The sequence below is a fragment of the Homo sapiens genome, chromosome 4, assembly GCF_000001405.40.
Source record: "Homo sapiens chromosome 4, GRCh38.p14 Primary Assembly".
Lineage (NCBI taxonomy): Eukaryota > Metazoa > Chordata > Mammalia > Primates > Hominidae > Homo > Homo sapiens.
Window position 1 is genome coordinate 15,744,246 of NC_000004.12, and position 17,442 is coordinate 15,761,687.

Sequence of the window (17,442 nt, forward strand, 5' to 3'; positions counted from 1 at the left end):
AGAGCAGCTCGAGACTGGGTAATTTTTAAAGGAAAGAGGTTTAATTGACTCAGGGTCCCACGTGGTTGGGGAGGCCTCAGGAAACTTACAAATCACGGTGGAAGGCAAAGGGGAAGCAAGGCACCTTCTTCACAAGGTGGCAGGAAAGGGAATGACACAGGAGGAACTACCAAACACTTATAAAACCATCAGATCTTGTGAGAACTCACTCACCATCAGGAGAACAGCATGGGGGAAACCGCCCCCATAATCCAATCACCTCCACCTGGTGTCTCTTCCTTGACACATGGGATTATGGGGATTACAATTTAAGATGAGATTTTGGGTGGAGACACAGACAAACCATATCACATTCCAAAAGAAAGTTCAACAATAAGCAGCACTTCCAAGACTTTCTCCCTTTGGCCAATATCATAAGATGGACACTGTAATCGTGAGGCTTAGGGGCAGAGGAGTGCTGGAGCTGGCCTATACCCACTCAGGAGGGCTGATTGTTCAATTTTCATGAATTTTGTTGCAAGCCACTTGTTAAAAACAGCCATTACAAAAATTATCTAAATTTGAAAATCGTGTTAGAAACAAGGATAATGAATGTTCAAAGCTCAAATAAAAATTCAGACTTATACAGAACTGATATGAAGAGTTAAATTTTTTGGAAAATGTTTTCTGTAAGTCATCACTTCTAGACATGCTAAAATTTATATAATGAAATATTTTTTCAGATTTATTCCAATGCTATAAAACATGTTTAGCATTTCAGTAACAGTTTTATTAGCAGAAAATTCTTCCAAAATTTAAAATTATTAAAATTATCTGCAACTTTGCAGGTAATAAAAGTGTTTTATATCACATTCAATTATATTGATCAATAAAGAAGTTGCAAAAAGCATAAATTCTGATACCTAATACATTTATGGAAGAATGAATTAGAGAAATCTCATAATAAATCAAGGTGTCACATTAAGAAAGTATTACTGTTTACTGTATCATATAAAATTACATATTATACATTGAATTACATACAAATATAAAATTATGACACCAATATTTTCTTGCAATTTGTAGGTTTATGTTGTAATTCATGATAACTATTACTCTGATTACATTTTGTCAGTAATATAATATTTTTAAAGGAAAATGTATTGTTTCAGTATATTTAACTTAGCTGTACTTTTTTTCTGCTTTTTGAACAAAGTGTTTCACGTTTTCATTTTGCATTGCCCCCAAAATTATGTAGTTGGCCCTGCCTTTAAAATCATGGTTTCTTCCAGGTAATATGACTGAAATGTCAAGATCCAGGCTCTGGACTGTCTGCAGAGCCCTCTCTTGTTCTTGAGGTCATTCAAAATCAAGAGCCTTCTGAGTTACATGACTAACGGATCAGAACCATATTCCTAAATGTGGCTTGTGCTGCCTTCAAAATCCAGAGAAACCTTCCATGGGCTGTACTTCTTTCATAGTGGTAGGAGGTGGAAGATGAAATAACATATCCTTTATTTTGTAGGGGATACTCTGGAATGTCCCCAGACCACTGGCTCACTATAATCTCAGTCCCAAATCTTTGTAGGGTTTATCTCCCACCCTCTGGCCTGCATGTGTTTTAATAAGGCATCTCGAAGACTTACCACCTTATGATTACTAATTTTAGTTAACATGATATTATCAATATAAGGGGCCAGACTGATGTCATATAGAATGCTTAGACAAAGGTTAAGGTTCTTTTAGACTACATAGGGATAGAGGAGAGTAGAGCTAACATAGCCCTTGGGCAAGATGGTGAGTTACCTGCATAGTCAAGGTGAATGAACTGCATTTTATTCTTCTTCCCAAAGGAGATTGAAAATAAGGTGTTTGCAGTATACCTAGACTCAAAGGCTGTGACAATTTGCTGTCATAAAATACCACCATCTGGTACTGCAACTGCAAACTGGGGCTACCACTTGGCTAAATTATCTGACATAGTCCATTTAGTGTTTGGTTTTTTCCAGGGGTTAGATTGATGAATTAAAGGAGGATATGATGAAATCACCACACTGTTCTTTCTTTTTGAGTCTCTAAGGGTGGTTCCAAGCCCTTGCATTACACTTGTGTCTTAGTTTATTTCCTGCTCCTATAACATAATACCATAGACTGGGTAATTTGTAAAGACAAGAAACATTTCTCACAGTTCTGGAGACTGGGAAGTTCAAGAGCATCGCACTAGTATCTGGTGGGGCCATTCCATGGCAGAAGGCATAGCAAAGTGAAGAAACATGTGCATGAGGCAGGGAGAGAAGTGTGCCAAACTCATCATTTTTACCAGGACTCCTGCAATAACCAACCCACTCCTGTGATAACACCATTAATCCCTTCATGAAGGCTCTGCCTCTTAAAGGCCCCACCCCTTAATATGGTTACTGTGACAATTGAATCTCATCATAAGTTTGGAGGGAACATTCAAACCATAGGAACCTAGGATGTGGTATTGCTCTGGAATGGTGGTCACCTTCAGGGGTGTTTACTTCATCTTTCCTACTATAAAGGCTCTTACTCCACAGGTCAAAAAACAAATGTGAGAGGGGGCTAGGGACATGATCACAGCATGGGTGCTGATAAACTTAGTTCTGGAGTCCATTTGTCATCTAGCCTCAGTAAGTCCTTATTTAACTGAGGGGGCCCATGATTGTGTTTTGGGTCTTGTAGCAGTGACAGCTCAGACTCTGTGATCAAGCCATCAGAAGATCTGAGTATTCCATTCCTCCAAATGCACAGGAACTCCAACAAATGGGTATGGGTCCCTTTGGGGAAGGGTTGGGAGAATCACTATGTTATATGCTTGCTGTGGCTTACAGGACTTCCTCTCCCTTAAGTGATTAAATCTGGGCCTGAGGTTCCAGACACCAGTCTGGGAACTGGGTATCAGACTGTGATCGTCCATTGTGGTAGCTGACATCATCAACATTTGGCTCTCTTGCTCCTGATCACTTTTGATTGTAAAGGTCAAGCAATATCCTTATCAACTGCACATCTAAGAGCTCTTAGGAACCATGGGATATATTAACCACAGTCTCAGATTCGTGCCTGTCAGGCCCCTGTTTGCCATGCTGCCTTTATGCCATTATAGTAGTCATGGCTGCCTTGCTGCCACCAAGCCTCCACTATTCTGGAATCCTATTTTGCTTCTTGGTACTAGGAATCCCAGTCCCATAATGATATCACTACCATCAATCCTGGCCTTCAGAATATAAACCACTTCGGAGTTTTTCCGTGAAGCCAGTACCCCCATCACCATCACATTCTTTACTGTTTTAATGAAGACTGTCTTCTTGGACTCTCTTGGAAACATTGTCAGCGAGCTGTGTTATTCTATGTCATTCTTTGGAGTAAGCTTATCTCCCTGAGCCAAAGCACAGTAGTAAATAAATCTTATCTAGTTTTTAAAAACATTTATTTATTTATTTATTAGAGACAAGTTCCTACCTTCTCCCAGGCTGGAGCACAGTGGTCCCATCATGGCTCACTGCAGCCTCAAATTCTTAGGCTCATGTGATCTTCCTTCCTCAGTCTCCTGAGTAGCTAGGACTACAGGCACAAGTCACCATGCCCAGCTAATATTTTAAATTCTTATTTTTTGTAGAGATGTGGTCTTGCTATGTTGCCAAGGCTGGTCTCGAATTCCTGGCCTCAAGCAATCCTTCTTCCTTGGCCTCCTAAAGTGTTGGGATTACAGGCATGAGCCACTGTGTCCAGCCAACCTTATCTCATTTATTTCAGGCCTTCTTTTCTCCAGATTTCAATGAGCCATTCCTACAGTTGTATTAGGACCAGCTCTAAGTGCCTTGCCAGGTCATTAAACTTTGACTCATGAGAGAGTACCCTTTTATCAACTCATTCTTTCTTATCCAGCCTTGTATATTACGTACCACCATTATCAGTCCAACACCATTCTCATGCGTGCTTTCCCAATTCCTGACATATATTTAGGCAGATCCTACAATTCTTTTGGTTAACAATCCCTTTTCTCCAAAATAAGGGACAGTATTTCCCAGGAGCATGGTGCCGATACTGAAGCTTAGTTATTTGTCTAGAAGCAGTGAAGGGAGACAGGTTCTGAAGAGGCAAGCACCCTCTTGCAATGCAAGGCTGTGCACAGTTTCCAGGCAAAGGGAGCTGCTATCCTTCAGTAAGAGGGGGAGAAAGCGACTCCTGCCAACTCTCTGGGGGGTCATGGGAATCTAGGGGTTCAAGGTGTGCCATTTCATAGGCAAAGATGTCCCCATCCCATCTCAGGGTCTTACTCTCTCCCCACAAAGGCCTTGACTTTAATGAAGGATATCTGCCAGGGCTGGGAATAGAGACCAAAGTTTCTTGATTATTCTGCTGTGATCATAATGAACATGCTGTGCTTGTAGGATTTTCGCACAGTCTGCCCTCTGGCTGCAGGGGGTGAGGGGCTCCTTCAATGTTGAGGGCCATTGAGGTCTTCTGACTTCACACTACACCCGAGTTGATAGTTGGTAGTTGATCTGATCCTGTTGTTTTCTTCCCTTAGCACATGATGGTAGTGGAAAGCAACAGCTAATTCCACATTCCTTATGATTACCATTTTATGACATCTCTCAGTTGCTATAATAGCGTGTAAGTCAGTGCATCTCTTTCTCTTTCTTCCATCATAGCTCACTTCATGCAAGAGTCGCAGTAATTGAAATGCCACAGCACACCAGAGGAAGGGAGGATGAGACGAGGGAGGGAAGCAGCCCATAAAGGACACATTACCAAGCAAGTTGTCACTGAGGGCAACTGGAGCTTAATCCTGCGGGGACCTTTGGCTGACAGTGTAGCAAATTTCTCAGAGTTAATTAATCAAAGACATGGGGAAGCTGAGGTGTCTATCCTTCATTCCTGCCAGTCATTGGTTGAGGGCACTCCCAGGAAGGATATTAATTCCTGACACTTCCAGGCTGCCCCGTGTGGGGGCAGAACAGGTATTGGAAGTCAGAGAAGGCTCTCAGGCAGTCACAGGTGCTTCCCATTGGAAGTTGAGAGGATGGGTCCAGAAACGGTCATTGCCAAGATGAATAAGCACGAGACACCAGCACTTTCTGCTACGAGCGGGTTTTCTGTCACTTGATCCAAATGCTTCACAGTTGAGAGTCTGGATTTTGTTGTTGTTGTCGTTGTTGTTATTTTACTTTATTCAGGGGATCTTTTCTAGGATCCTTTCAATTTTGCCTCTACCTCAAAATTCATTATTGCTACAGATCTGCTTTCATGGATGAAAGAGTTACTATTCTATCACCGTCCTGGTCATTTTATTATGTTTTCAAAGCAAAGAATAGCTCTGGAAATCACTTCTTCAATTAGAACTAAAGAGCTTCCCTGCTTAGCAGCATAACAAGCCTGAAAGGTAGCACAGGTGTCATTCACAAGCAAATGACAGCAAAGAGTACTTTTTATTATTTGAAATTTATTTTTTTGTGGGCTCATAGTAGCATATATTTATGAGGTACATGAGATGTTTTGAAACAGGCATGCAATGTGAAATAAGCACATCATGAAAAATGGGGTATTCACCACCCCCCGAGCATTTATCCTTTGAGCTACAAACAATCCAGTTATACTTTGTAAATTATTTTAAAATACATAATTGTTATTATTGACTATAGTCACCCTATTGTGTTATCAAACAGTAGGTCTTATTCATTCTTTTCTTTTTTTTTTTTTTTTGTATCCATTAACCATCCCCATCTACCTCTCATCCCCTCACTACCCTTCCCAGCCTCTGGTAACTATCCTTCTACCTTTTATGTCCATGAGTTCAGATGGTTTGATTTTTATTTTATTTTATTTTTGGAGACGGAGTTTTGCTCTTGCTGCCCAACCTCCGCCACCCAGGTTCAAGCGATTCTCCTGCCTCAGCCTCCTGAGTGGCTGGGATTACAGGTGCCCACCACTATGCCCAGCTAATTTTTGTATTTTTAGTAGAGATTTGGTTTCACTCTGTTGTCCAGGCTAGTCTCAAACTCCTGACCTCAGGTGATTCACCAGCCTCAGCCTCTCAAAGTGCTGGGATTACAGGAGTGAGCCACTGTGCCTGGCATGGTTTGAATTTTAGATCTCACAAATAAGTGTGAACATGTGATGTATGTTTTTCTGGGCCTGGCTTATTTCACTCAACATAAGCAAAGAGTATTTGGCAATTCATTCCCATCCCTTCAGGTGGAAGACTTTTAATATGTCTCTGCTTAGAACTAGAGAGAGGTTTATTAATTATCTGTGAAAGAAAGCCGGGTGAATAAGACAGATGTTGCTCTCAAGGAACTACTATCCAGAACTATGCTGTCCAGTATGGTAGCCACAAAATACTTGCAGCTACTGAGTATTTGAGATGTGGCTAGTGCCAACTAAGATGGGCTGTAAGTGTACAATGAACACCATATTTCAAAGACTTGGTACAAAGATAAAAGAATATAAAATATCACATTAATAATTGTTATATTGATTACATGTAGAAATGATCATGCTTGTTTTGCATATGTTGGGTTAATTAAAATATATTTTAACATTAATTGTAACTGGGTTTTTTTGTTCCTTAATAATATAGCTGCTTATAAAAATGTAAAATTTTATATATGGCTCATATTATATTTCTACTGGTCAGTACTGATCAAGAATAAATTATCAGGTGGTCCACAATGAATGGTGTGCAATATCAGTCAAAACTCATTATGGTAGGTTCTGGAAATACAAAGGTGAATCCACATGATTTTCTATCCTCAAGTAGCTCTCAGCCTAGTGTTTGGAGAAGACAAACAGTAACATTTAATTGAGAAGACAGGGCTACCAGAGGCATGAATCAGGTGTAACAGAGTTCATGCACTACAGAGACTTATACTAGAGCAGGGGTGGTGCATGGAGTGGATAGGCAGGTGAGTGAGCAAGTTAGAGAAGATTTTAAAGAGGAGGGGTTATATGAATTAATTTGTCACAAGAGTGGGGTTTTACAAGGTAGAAAAGTGTGTAGTCTGTGCGGTGGTTAGGCCTGTGAGTGAAATAACTTCCCCTTATAATCCCCTTTAATTGAAAAAAATCTCGGGGAACATTCTGATTGGCAGGGCTGGAGTCACATGACCACCATGGGCCAATGACTATGGCAAGCTGGGTTGACTATTACAATTGACTAGCTGTGATCAGGGAGGTGGTACCATGAAAGAAGACAGGTATTTTTATTCAGAAGAGGAAGAGAAGCAATTCCTCAAAAGAAAGGTAGCATTGGTCCATAAAGGGAGGGTGCTGGGAAGATTCAATACTCTTCCTACATAGTGGAGATCTAGATATATACATTATAGTCACTATTGTGTATACAGTGTATATAGATATACACTATATCTATGTATATAGATATATGTGTATACACTATATGTATATCTATAGATCTATATTTATATAGTATATGTATATCTTATAGATATACATAGATATAATGTATACATCCACATATAGTATGCACACATCTATGTATATATCTATGTATATACATCTATGTATAGATGTACTGTGTATAGTGTATATAAATATACACTGTAGTCACTATTTTCTTCATCTTAATATGCTTATGTCTCAGTCTCTTTTCTCATCACAGCACACAGAATCCAGCACTTCTCCTTTGTGTATTATAACAATTTATTTCTTGCAACAACTCATGGCAGTGGGAACGTGGCTCGTATAAGACTAGAAAATGAATTATTGCCGTTTTATAAACATGCTAAGGAGATTTAGTTTTGCACTGAAAGCAAAGGAAAACCATAAAAGATTAAAAAACTTTGACAAGAGAGGTGTATGATCAGATTTGTGCTTTGATCATTAATTCATTAAACAGCTATCATTGTGTGTTTATGAGTTCCAGGTGTTCTTCTAAGTTCTAGGATCTATTCAGTAAATGGGCAATTGTGCATATGTTCTTGTAGTGCACATTCTAGTGGGTGGAGATAATAAATAGCTTGTATAAGGAATAAATTGTATTTTCGAAGGTGATGCATGCTCCAGGAAATAATACAACATGGAAAGCTAGGCTGGGGCTATGGTTTTAAATGAGAAGTCTGGATAGGCCTCATTGAGAAGATGATGTTTAAACAAAGATTTGAAGGAGTGAAGGAATCAAGCTATTCTTTTTTTTTTTTTGAGACAGAGTTTCGCTCTTATTGCCCAGGCTGGAGTGCAATGGCGCAATCTCGGCTCACTGCAACCCCCGCCTCCCGGGTTCCAGTGATTCTCCTGCCTCAGCCTCCTGAGTAGCTGGGATTACAGGTATGTGCCACCATGCAGAGCTAATTTTGTATTTTTAGTAGAGACACGGTTTCTCCATGTTGGTCAGGCTGGTCTCAAACTCCTGACCTCAAGTGATCCACCTGCCTCAGCCTCCCAAGCCATTCTTATATCTATAGAATGAACATTTCAAGCAGAAGGAGCAGAAGCAAAGGCCCCGTGGTAGCCATGTGTCTGAACTATTTGAGGAACGGCAAGGAGGCCAGGATGGCAGGATCAAGGTGAGGGAAGAAAATAGGCCAGATCAGGTCAGGCCTTGCAGGCTATTTCACTGGCTTTTTTTGGAATGAGATGGAAAGCCAGTAAAGGCCCACTGGAGAGAGGCTTCTGGCCACTGCACATTGATGCTGGTTGATAATGTAAATAGTACATATAAATCACTAAGAAGATATAAATCACTAAGAAGATAAAGTGATTTACATATAAATCACTAAGAAATATTTAAATATAAATCACTAAGAAATATAAATATAAATCACTAAGAAATATTTAAATATAAATCACTAAGAAATATAAATATAAATCACTAAAAAATATTTAAATATAAATCACTAAGAAGATAAAGTGGCTGTCCTCTTAGCATTTCATCTGGCAATATATCACCCTCCATCTTCATCTCTCTGATATAAATGTCATATCCAAAATACAGCACGCTGCATTCTTCTTCTAAAATTTCAGATTAGATATGTTCCAGCCTCTGTCTAAGCTGTCTCTATCTCTGGGGCTCAGATATGTCAGAGCTGATAGCATGGGACTTTCAGAAGTCCATTTGTGGGAGGGATTTTTTCAGATAAAGGCGGTCTGGAAAAGGGAGAAGAATTAGAAGGTATCCATCGTATCTGTAGCAGAGATTTTTTATGTATGTGTGTGCTCCTGTGTATACATGTAGAAACCAAACATCCTGAATGGCTCACGATCGCGCCAGTGGGTGTCCTTTGTCCTTGCATAATTATTAGTAGCATCCCTCTCCATTAGGTGAGCCCTAAGGAGAAAGAGTAGGGTCTTTAAGAATGTTACGAGACACAGAGCCACAAACAGTATTGGGATAGGACCCAGCTCTCAAAGTGTGGCCCAGCCATGGCACAGCTGGAGGTTCGCAGAGATGGTGCCCACCAAAGGCAATGATGGGACATACATAAACTGCCTTGCAGGCAGGGAGAGTCCAAATCGGTCAGGGCCCATCCAGACACACAGATAGCACACTCAAATCAGGAAAATCGGAGGAGGTTTAATAGGGACTATCTGCAAACCATTGATGTGTACAGAGATGCACCAAGGCCTCACAGAGTGAGGCAACAGGGAGGTCATGGGAATCCGGAAGGAGAGAGTCCCATGGAGAGGTCATCTGGAGAAGAGCAGTGGCCTCTGTCAAGGAACCCAGTGGCCTGAGGCAACCCTGCAGGGAGGAAGCCAGCTGAGGGAATGGATAACCGGACCTCAGTCACCTTCCTTCCTTTGGGAGAGCCTCCTGGGGCTGGATCCAGGGCAGAGAGCCAAAGGGAGAGGCTGGAAGATCTGGAAGGCCAAGTGGGGGGGTGTGAGGCCACAGCTTCTTCGTGTGTATCATCAGTGGAGATTGAAAAGAGAGGAAAACCACGATGGAGGCCTGTGGGACTGTGGGCAGCTTTTTCAAGTGCAGATGTGATAATCCCCACGAAGACCCCCGGAAATATTGAGAGGGAGGCTCTTTGAAAGGGGATGGTGTTCTGCAGAACAATAGAGGCTTCATGAGTCGCTAAAGTAGAGGTTGTGAGGATTAGTGTGACCCCATTGTGAAAACTGGCCTAAAAGAACCCAAGGAAACAGGGGTATGTTGAGTTCAGGAACATTGCAGAATTTCCAGATGTTCTCTGAAGCATGCACATGTCTAAGATTGTCTCCTCTCTAAGGGTTGTGTGCAGTTTCTTACCTTCTGTGAGCTGGCTGTGAACTCAGTGCCCCTGGGTGGTAGCAGAAGCATGAATGCTGAGAGGAAGGATGTTGCTGTCAGCACTGTGTGGTTTTGAATGAGATAAAGAATCAACGTCAGATGTAGCTGCACACATACTTTATTTTGTTGAATTTCCAACTGATGAAGTATTTGATAAGCATGCCTGAAAAGATGGAAAAAACGGGCTCTTTCCCAGCGGTCCATTTTTGTAATTTAAGTACGTAGATTTGTTTTAGTTTACATTTGGTGATTTTTATGTTATTTCTGAAAAGGTAGTATATACACATGGCTTAAAAATAAAACACTATGAAAAAATCTCATTCCCACTCCTGTCCCCTGTTCTGGTCCCACACCTCTAATTCGGATGACCACTTGTTTAAAGTTCATGTAGATCTGTCTAGGGTTTCTTTGCACAAGCACATACAAATACATGTTATTACTCCCTACCTTTTCTTACACAAAAGGAAGCATTAAACACAAAATACTTTGTACTCCTTAATAGTACATCCTGGAGATTATTCTGTATCAATACATACAGAGATCCCTCACTTTATTTTTTACAGCTGCATAATATTCCATGGGAGAGATGTTTTGTAATTTATTTAACCCACCCCGTTAGGAACATCATTTAGGTTGTTTGCAATCAGTTTCTCTTTTTTTTATTTTTTTATTTTTTTGAGATGGAGTCTCACTCTGTCGCCCAGGCTGGAGTGCAGTAGTGCAATCTCAGCTCACTGCAACCTCCGCCTCCCAGGTTCAAGTGATTCTCCTGCCTCGGCCTCTTCAGTAGCTGGGATTACAGGTGTGCACCACCACGCCTGGCTAATTTTTGTATTTTTAGTAGAGATGGGGTTTCACCATGTTTGTCTGGCTGGTCTTGAACTCCTGACCTCTTGATCCGCCCGCCTTGGCCTCCCAAAGTTCTGGGATTACAGGCATGAGCCACCGTGCCTGGCGCCAGTTTCTCTTATAAACAATGCTGCAATGACTAATCTGGTATATTTATTATCTTTCATGTGGGCAGAGATATTTGTAGGTTGAATTCCTAGAAATGGGGTCAGTGAGTCAAAGAGTAAATGCATTTGCAATATTAATGTATTCATTCTTCACTGGATCTCTGTAGTTTAGCAATGAATTGAACAACTGCATATTATTTATGGGTGAAAAGCCCCAAAGAAAAAAGAAATGCTGAGTCCAGATGTCACCTTCAGTCAATGTAGAGTGGTGGTTACCACCAGTGATGAAGGTCTTAGAGTGTTTATGCATCTGTGAGTGTGTGAGTGTGTGCTCATTTGTGTACTCTGAAAACCCTATTTGAAAAAAAAAACTTAACCATTGGGTTATTAGACAGATAATCACTTCACTCCAATTTCAAATCAATGAGTTTCTTATTCCAGCTTATATTCCAATAGTCCAAAGCTTCCAGGGAATAAAGGTAAAACAATCTGAGAGCTCTGAGTTCCTCCACAGGGCAAGTACCATGTAAACTGATAGATGATGTTAAGGTTCTCAAGGTGGTGACTAAACAGTTCTCCCAGTCTCTGCAACATAAACATAAACTTAAAAATTACACTGTAAGCTAGATCTTCATTTTGAAAATAACCATGGAATTTGAAAAAATAAAACTGAAACAAACAAAACACACCACCATGAACAACAAAAACAACAACAAAACAAGGGGGAAAAACCGACTTTCTGGTGTTTTTGCTAAAAGACTGCAGGGTGGGTTGGGGGAAGCTCTTCTCATAAAAGAAAAGTACTAGACAATCTGGTCTTTTAAAGGGTCTTGAAAACAGATTATGCAGTAAAACTGAGCTGTCAAAGACCCTCAGAGATGGTCGTACCTGGCTAGTCCTATGAAGCGCCCAGCTAGAGGAGAGTTTTCTTTCTCATTTTCAATCGTGGTTTGTGGTTAAAGATGTGCATGCCAATGGCAGGTCTGGGGGTGAGATGTGTTTGAAAAAACGTTGAATTTATATTTGCAGTACCAGCCAGACTCAGGAAGTGACACTCAACCACATTTTCCTGACCTGGGTGGAGATTAGTTGAGAGTGTGTTTGATAGGTTAACACATGTTGAGAAACATTTTGACATAGGACGTGTTGCATATAACTAGTTTTATGAAGATGATGTCCTTAATGGGTATATCTTCTATGAATGACTCAGGTCATCATCATAGACTTGGGTTATTGTAACATCTAGCAGGTATGTTGCGCTGTGGAGAGCTGTTTTTCCCCCTAGCGGCCTCGGAGGGTGAGGTTTGGAGTGCTATTCACATTTTTCTGTGCACTGGCTGTGCAATGGCCAGCCATATCTCTTTCCAAGATGCTCATTTGTTGGGGCTCAGGATGCACCACCTCAAAACATACTGTGGGAGACAAGATGTGCCACCCCAAAATACACTTCCTGGCATATTTCAAGCTGGTTATTCAGATACACTGCAGACGCAGGAGTATCTCTGAAAAGCTGCCCTTTGTAAAAGAAATGTATGCCTATTGTAAATTGAAAGTTAAGTTTCTTGTAAAAGAAATCTATATTAGTAAAACCATCTGTATCAGGAAGAGGGCTGTTCCTAGACAATTTTTATTACCTGAGATACTTTATTTGCATAACAAGACAAACTTTTATTCACCTTATATTTCCTCCCTCCCCTTCTCATAGCTTGTCTCTACCACCCTCAGAAGCCCCAAGCTCCTCCTATTCCTTTCTGTAGCTCAGGCTGCTATATAAGCTTCAATCATCTGGTCTTTCTTCAACTCTCATATTTTCGCGGGACCCCTGTGCCAACGTGTGTAGTTAAACATAGCTTTTTTTCTTGCTAATCTGTTGTGTGCTGATTTAATTCACAGCCATGCCAAAGAACCCAGGAGGGTGGAGGTAGACCATTTGGTTCTCCCTGCACGAACTGCAGTGTATTTTTTTGGGCCCAAGGTCAAATACCAGCTCCACTGTCCTAGTCCTGTGACCTTGGCTGAACAGAATAATGATCCTCCTGTCTATAAAGAGGACAAAAGCACACCCCCACCCCGCCCCGCAGACTGTTCTGAACAGTGGTCCCCTGTTAAAGAAAACTTCTCCTCAACTTCACTCCCTCTTCACCATTTCTTTCCATTAATATTACAGAGAATCCTTTATAGGGAATTTCTTTTAAAAATTTTATTTATTTATTTATTTATTTAGAGAAAGAGTTTTGCTCTTGTTGCCCAGGCTGGAGTGCAATGGCAGGATCTCGGCTCTCTGCAACCTCCATCTCCTGGGTTCGAGTGATTCTCCTGCCTCAACCTCCCAAGTAACTTGGACTACAGGCATGCGCCACCACACCTAGCTAATTTTTGTATTTTTAGTAGAGACAGGGTTTCTCCATGTTGATCAGGCTGGTCTTGAACTCCCGACCTCAGGTGATCCGCCCTCCTCGGCCTCCCAAAGTGCTGGGATTACAGGCATGAGCCACCGCGCCCGGTGGGATTTTCTTAAACATTAAATGTCTAATGTTTTAAAAACCCAATAACATCAGCATTTTTAATAACAATTTTTATTGTAAATTGACAATTTATAATTGTGTATATTTCTGGATACAACGTGATGTTATAATTTATAAATACAATGTAGGATAATTAAATTAAGCTAGTTAACATATCCATCATCTCAAATATTTAGCATTTTTTTTCAACTTTTATTTTAGTTTCAGGGGGTACATGGGCAGGTTTGTTACACAGGCAAATTGTGTGTCACTGGGGTTTGGTATACTAATGATCTTATCACCCAGGTAGTGAGCATAGTACCTGACAGCTGGTTTTTCAGCCGTCCCTCCCCTTCCGCCCTGTCTCCTCTAGTAGTCCCCAGCGTCTATTGTTTCCATCTTTATGTCCATGTGCACTCAATATTTAGCTTTCACTTAAACGTGAGAACATGTGGCATTTGATTTTCTGTTCCTGCATCAATACACTTAGGACAATGGCCTCCATTATCCTAAGCTACATCTTTTGCGGCTGTATCCATGTTGCTGCTAAATATGTGGAATACTATGCAGCCATAAAAAAGAATGAAATCATATCCTTAGCATTTTTTTGTCATGAGAACATTTGAAATTTACTCTCTTAGCAATTTTGAAATGTATGATACTGTTTGTTAACTATATTCACCACACTATGCAATAGATTTCAAAGAAACTTCCATATTCCTTCTGAGATTTTTGTACCTTGTTCATCATCTCCCTAACACCCTCACCCTCTAGCCTCTGTAACCACCAGTTTATTCTCTGGTTCTACGAGTTTGATTGTTTTAGATTCTTCATTTAAGTGAGAATATGCAGTATTATTTAAGATCATTTAATTAAGTTTTAGTATGTATAAAGTATTTGGCGTCAATGCCTACCTATTTCTATGGAATGAAACAGAACAAAACATTTCCCACCTGAACCACAACCTGCATGCTGGTGTTGTCTTCACTGCAGGTGGATTACGGAGCTATGGCCTACACACCTCAGTGCCTTTTGTAGGAAATCATGGCTAAGAGTCAATGCTTGGAATCAGGTGGACAGGCATCAAGTCCCATTTCCACCACACGTATCTGTGTGTCCTCAGTTAAGTTAACTGACCTCTGTCTGCCATAGTCAAAATTCCTAGTTATGTATATCAAAAACTATCTCCTGGTGTATATTACAGAATATTAGGAAGCTCAAGCATCTCAGGGACGGAGAAGGACTAAGGAAAGAGCCAAGAATAACATCCAGATTATACTACTGGTCCACTATGGAGCCCACTACCCAGATTTCTGGGCGAAAGAAGATGGATGTGCTGCTCAAGGGCTGACTGGTAGAACGCCCAGCAGTGGCACCTCTGAAAATGCTGTATTCACCACACTCAAGTTTTCAAATCTGTAAAGCAGGTATAGTAAGAATATTTACCTCATGGGGTTATTATGCAGATTTGATAACACTGTGTATAGAAAGACCCCAGTATGGTGTTTGGCACTTAGTAAATGCTCAGTTAATGTTTCTGCTCCATTTCCTCCTTCATTTTCTTCTACCTTAACTTCTCATCTATTTTCATTTTTCTTCTTTTTTCTTTCTCTAACTTCTTCCTCCTCCTGTTTTTCTCACTTCTTCACTTCTCTTCCATCCCCTTTCTTCTTCCTCATTCCTTATTTCTCTTCCTAAGAGTTGGTAAGAGGCAGCGTATGACTATTCTGCCAATGGAAACCATTTTCCCTGTTTCTGTAACAGGGGGTGTCATGGGGTACAGCACCAAAGAGCTACTATTTAGTTGGATATTACCATAAGTTAATAAAGGCTCAATACCCCGCTTTCTCCTTTACTTCCCCCCTCCACTCCCAGTATTTACCCAGTGGCATCAAATCTGGAATGGGCTATCTTCATATCAGAACCAGGAAAAATGGAAGGGAGTTACACCAGAAACCATAAACCCTATGTGAGGAGGGATTTTGTTTAACATCTTTTTTTGAGATCGAATTTACAAACATAAAATTTATCCTGAAAGTATATGATTTAGTAGTTTTTAGCATATTCAGTTTTGTGACTATCACACAAGTTTAGAACATTCCTCTCAACCCCAAGGAAACCCCATTCCTATTGGGCTGTCACTCCTCATTCCCCAACATGCAGCCCTAGGGAACTTCTAATCTACTTTCCGTCTCTATGGATTTGCCTAGTCTGGATATCTCATGTAAGTGGAATTATACAATATGTTACTTCTTGTGACTAGCTTCTTACACTTGGCATGTTTTTGAGGTACGTCCATGTTGTGGTATGCGTTAGCATTTCATTTTTTTTTTTGGCTCAATAATATTCCGCTGTGTGGGCATATCACATTTTGTTTATCCATTCATCAATTAAGGATATTTGGGTTGTTTCTGTTTATCAATTATTATGATAATGCCTTTATGAACCTTCATGTACATTTCTGTGTGAACATATGTTTTCATATCTCTTGGGTAGATATCCAGGAGTGGAATTTCCAGGTCATGTTCACTCTGCTTAACATTTTGAGGAATTGCCAGATTATTTTCTAAAGTAGCTGAGGGCAGGGATTTTTGTCTGGTTTGTTCATCGCTGATCCAGTGCTGACATATGGTAAACTTAAAACTATTTATTAAATAAATTGAATAAATGAATTAATAGTTGTCTGGTAAAAATATAATTTTTCCTTATATATGTAAGCATGCATAAATAAATATATACTATATATTTATTTATTTATTTATTTATTTTTCGAGATAAGGTCTCTTTTACCCAGGCTGAAGTGCAGTGGTGTGATCTTGGCTTACTGCAGTCTCCACTTCCTGGGCTCAGGTGATCCTCCTACTTCAGCCTCATGAGTAGTGGGGACCACAGGTGTGCACCACCACGCCTAGCTTTTTTTTTTTTTTGGTATTTTTAGTAGAGATGGGGTTTCACCATGTTGCCCAGGCTGGTTTCAAATTCCTGAGTAATCTGCCTGCCTTGGCCTTTCAAAGTGCTGGGATTACAGGTGTGAGCCCCCTGCACCCAGCCAACATATTTTTGTTTAAACATTATGTATGGCATATAGTTTTTTTGTTTTGTTTTGTTTTGTTTTGTTTTTTAAGACAGAGTTTCGCTCTTGTTGCCCAGGCTGGGGTGCTGTGGCACAACCTCAGCTCACCTCAACCCCCGCCTCCCGGGTTCAAGTGATTCTTGTGCCTCAGCCTCCCGAGTAGCTGGGATTACAGGCATGTTCCACCATGCCCGGCTAATTTTCTGTATTTTTAGTGGAGATGGGGTTTCTCCATGGGCATATAGTTTTGTAAATTGGCAATTGCTGTTTGTTAAAAATGGAGTTTTAAAATTCTACTCTAGCTGTACAGTTCTGGGAAAGAGGCTTTTTTTGCGTTGTCCTGTGTGCCACCTTCTCACTTGGAAAGGAAAAGAAATTAACTGAGCATGAAACTTAAGTGAGATAAAATTGTATGTGGCAATACATGTATACCATAATACAGGGAACGTATTGAAGTGCTAAAAAACAAGAAAGTAATTTCTTTATTGTTATCTTCCTGTCTGTTGCTAGCTTGGTAGCTAGAAAACCAAGCTTAAAACATAAAATATGAGAAAATAATTTATGAATGAGAATCTGGATGAAGTTGTAATTTTAGTCAATTCACCATTCTCTCACTTTTGCCACCACATTTCTGTGCTTGAGCTTGCATGATGGTGTGCACAGTGATAAATTATT

General features: G+C 40.4%; 1 protein-coding gene and 1 long non-coding RNA gene across 3 annotated transcripts in view; one reads left to right on the top strand and one right to left on the bottom strand.

The window, feature by feature from the left end:
- BST1 (bone marrow stromal cell antigen 1) overlaps positions 1 to 17,442 on the top strand; it is a 71,109-nt gene that overhangs the window by 41,181 nt on the left and 12,486 nt on the right. Inside the window, exon 9 of one of the 2 annotated variants that reach the window (XM_017008566.3) lies at positions 14,899 to 15,044. The exons of the other annotated variant lie outside the window; for it this stretch is intronic. Coding sequence (XP_016864055.1) covers positions 14,899 to 14,941 — 43 coding nt within the window. The 3' untranslated portion in view covers positions 14,942 to 15,044. Of the gene's footprint in view, positions 1 to 14,898; positions 15,045 to 17,442 lie in introns of those variants that run through there. 2 annotated transcript variants of the gene reach the window in all.
- LOC107986186 (uncharacterized) lies at positions 9,826 to 12,181 on the bottom strand. Its single transcript, XR_001741393.2, has 2 exons — positions 12,079 to 12,181; positions 9,826 to 10,296 (listed from the first exon to the last, which is right to left on the bottom strand). It is a non-coding gene; the product is annotated as an uncharacterized LOC107986186 (long non-coding RNA).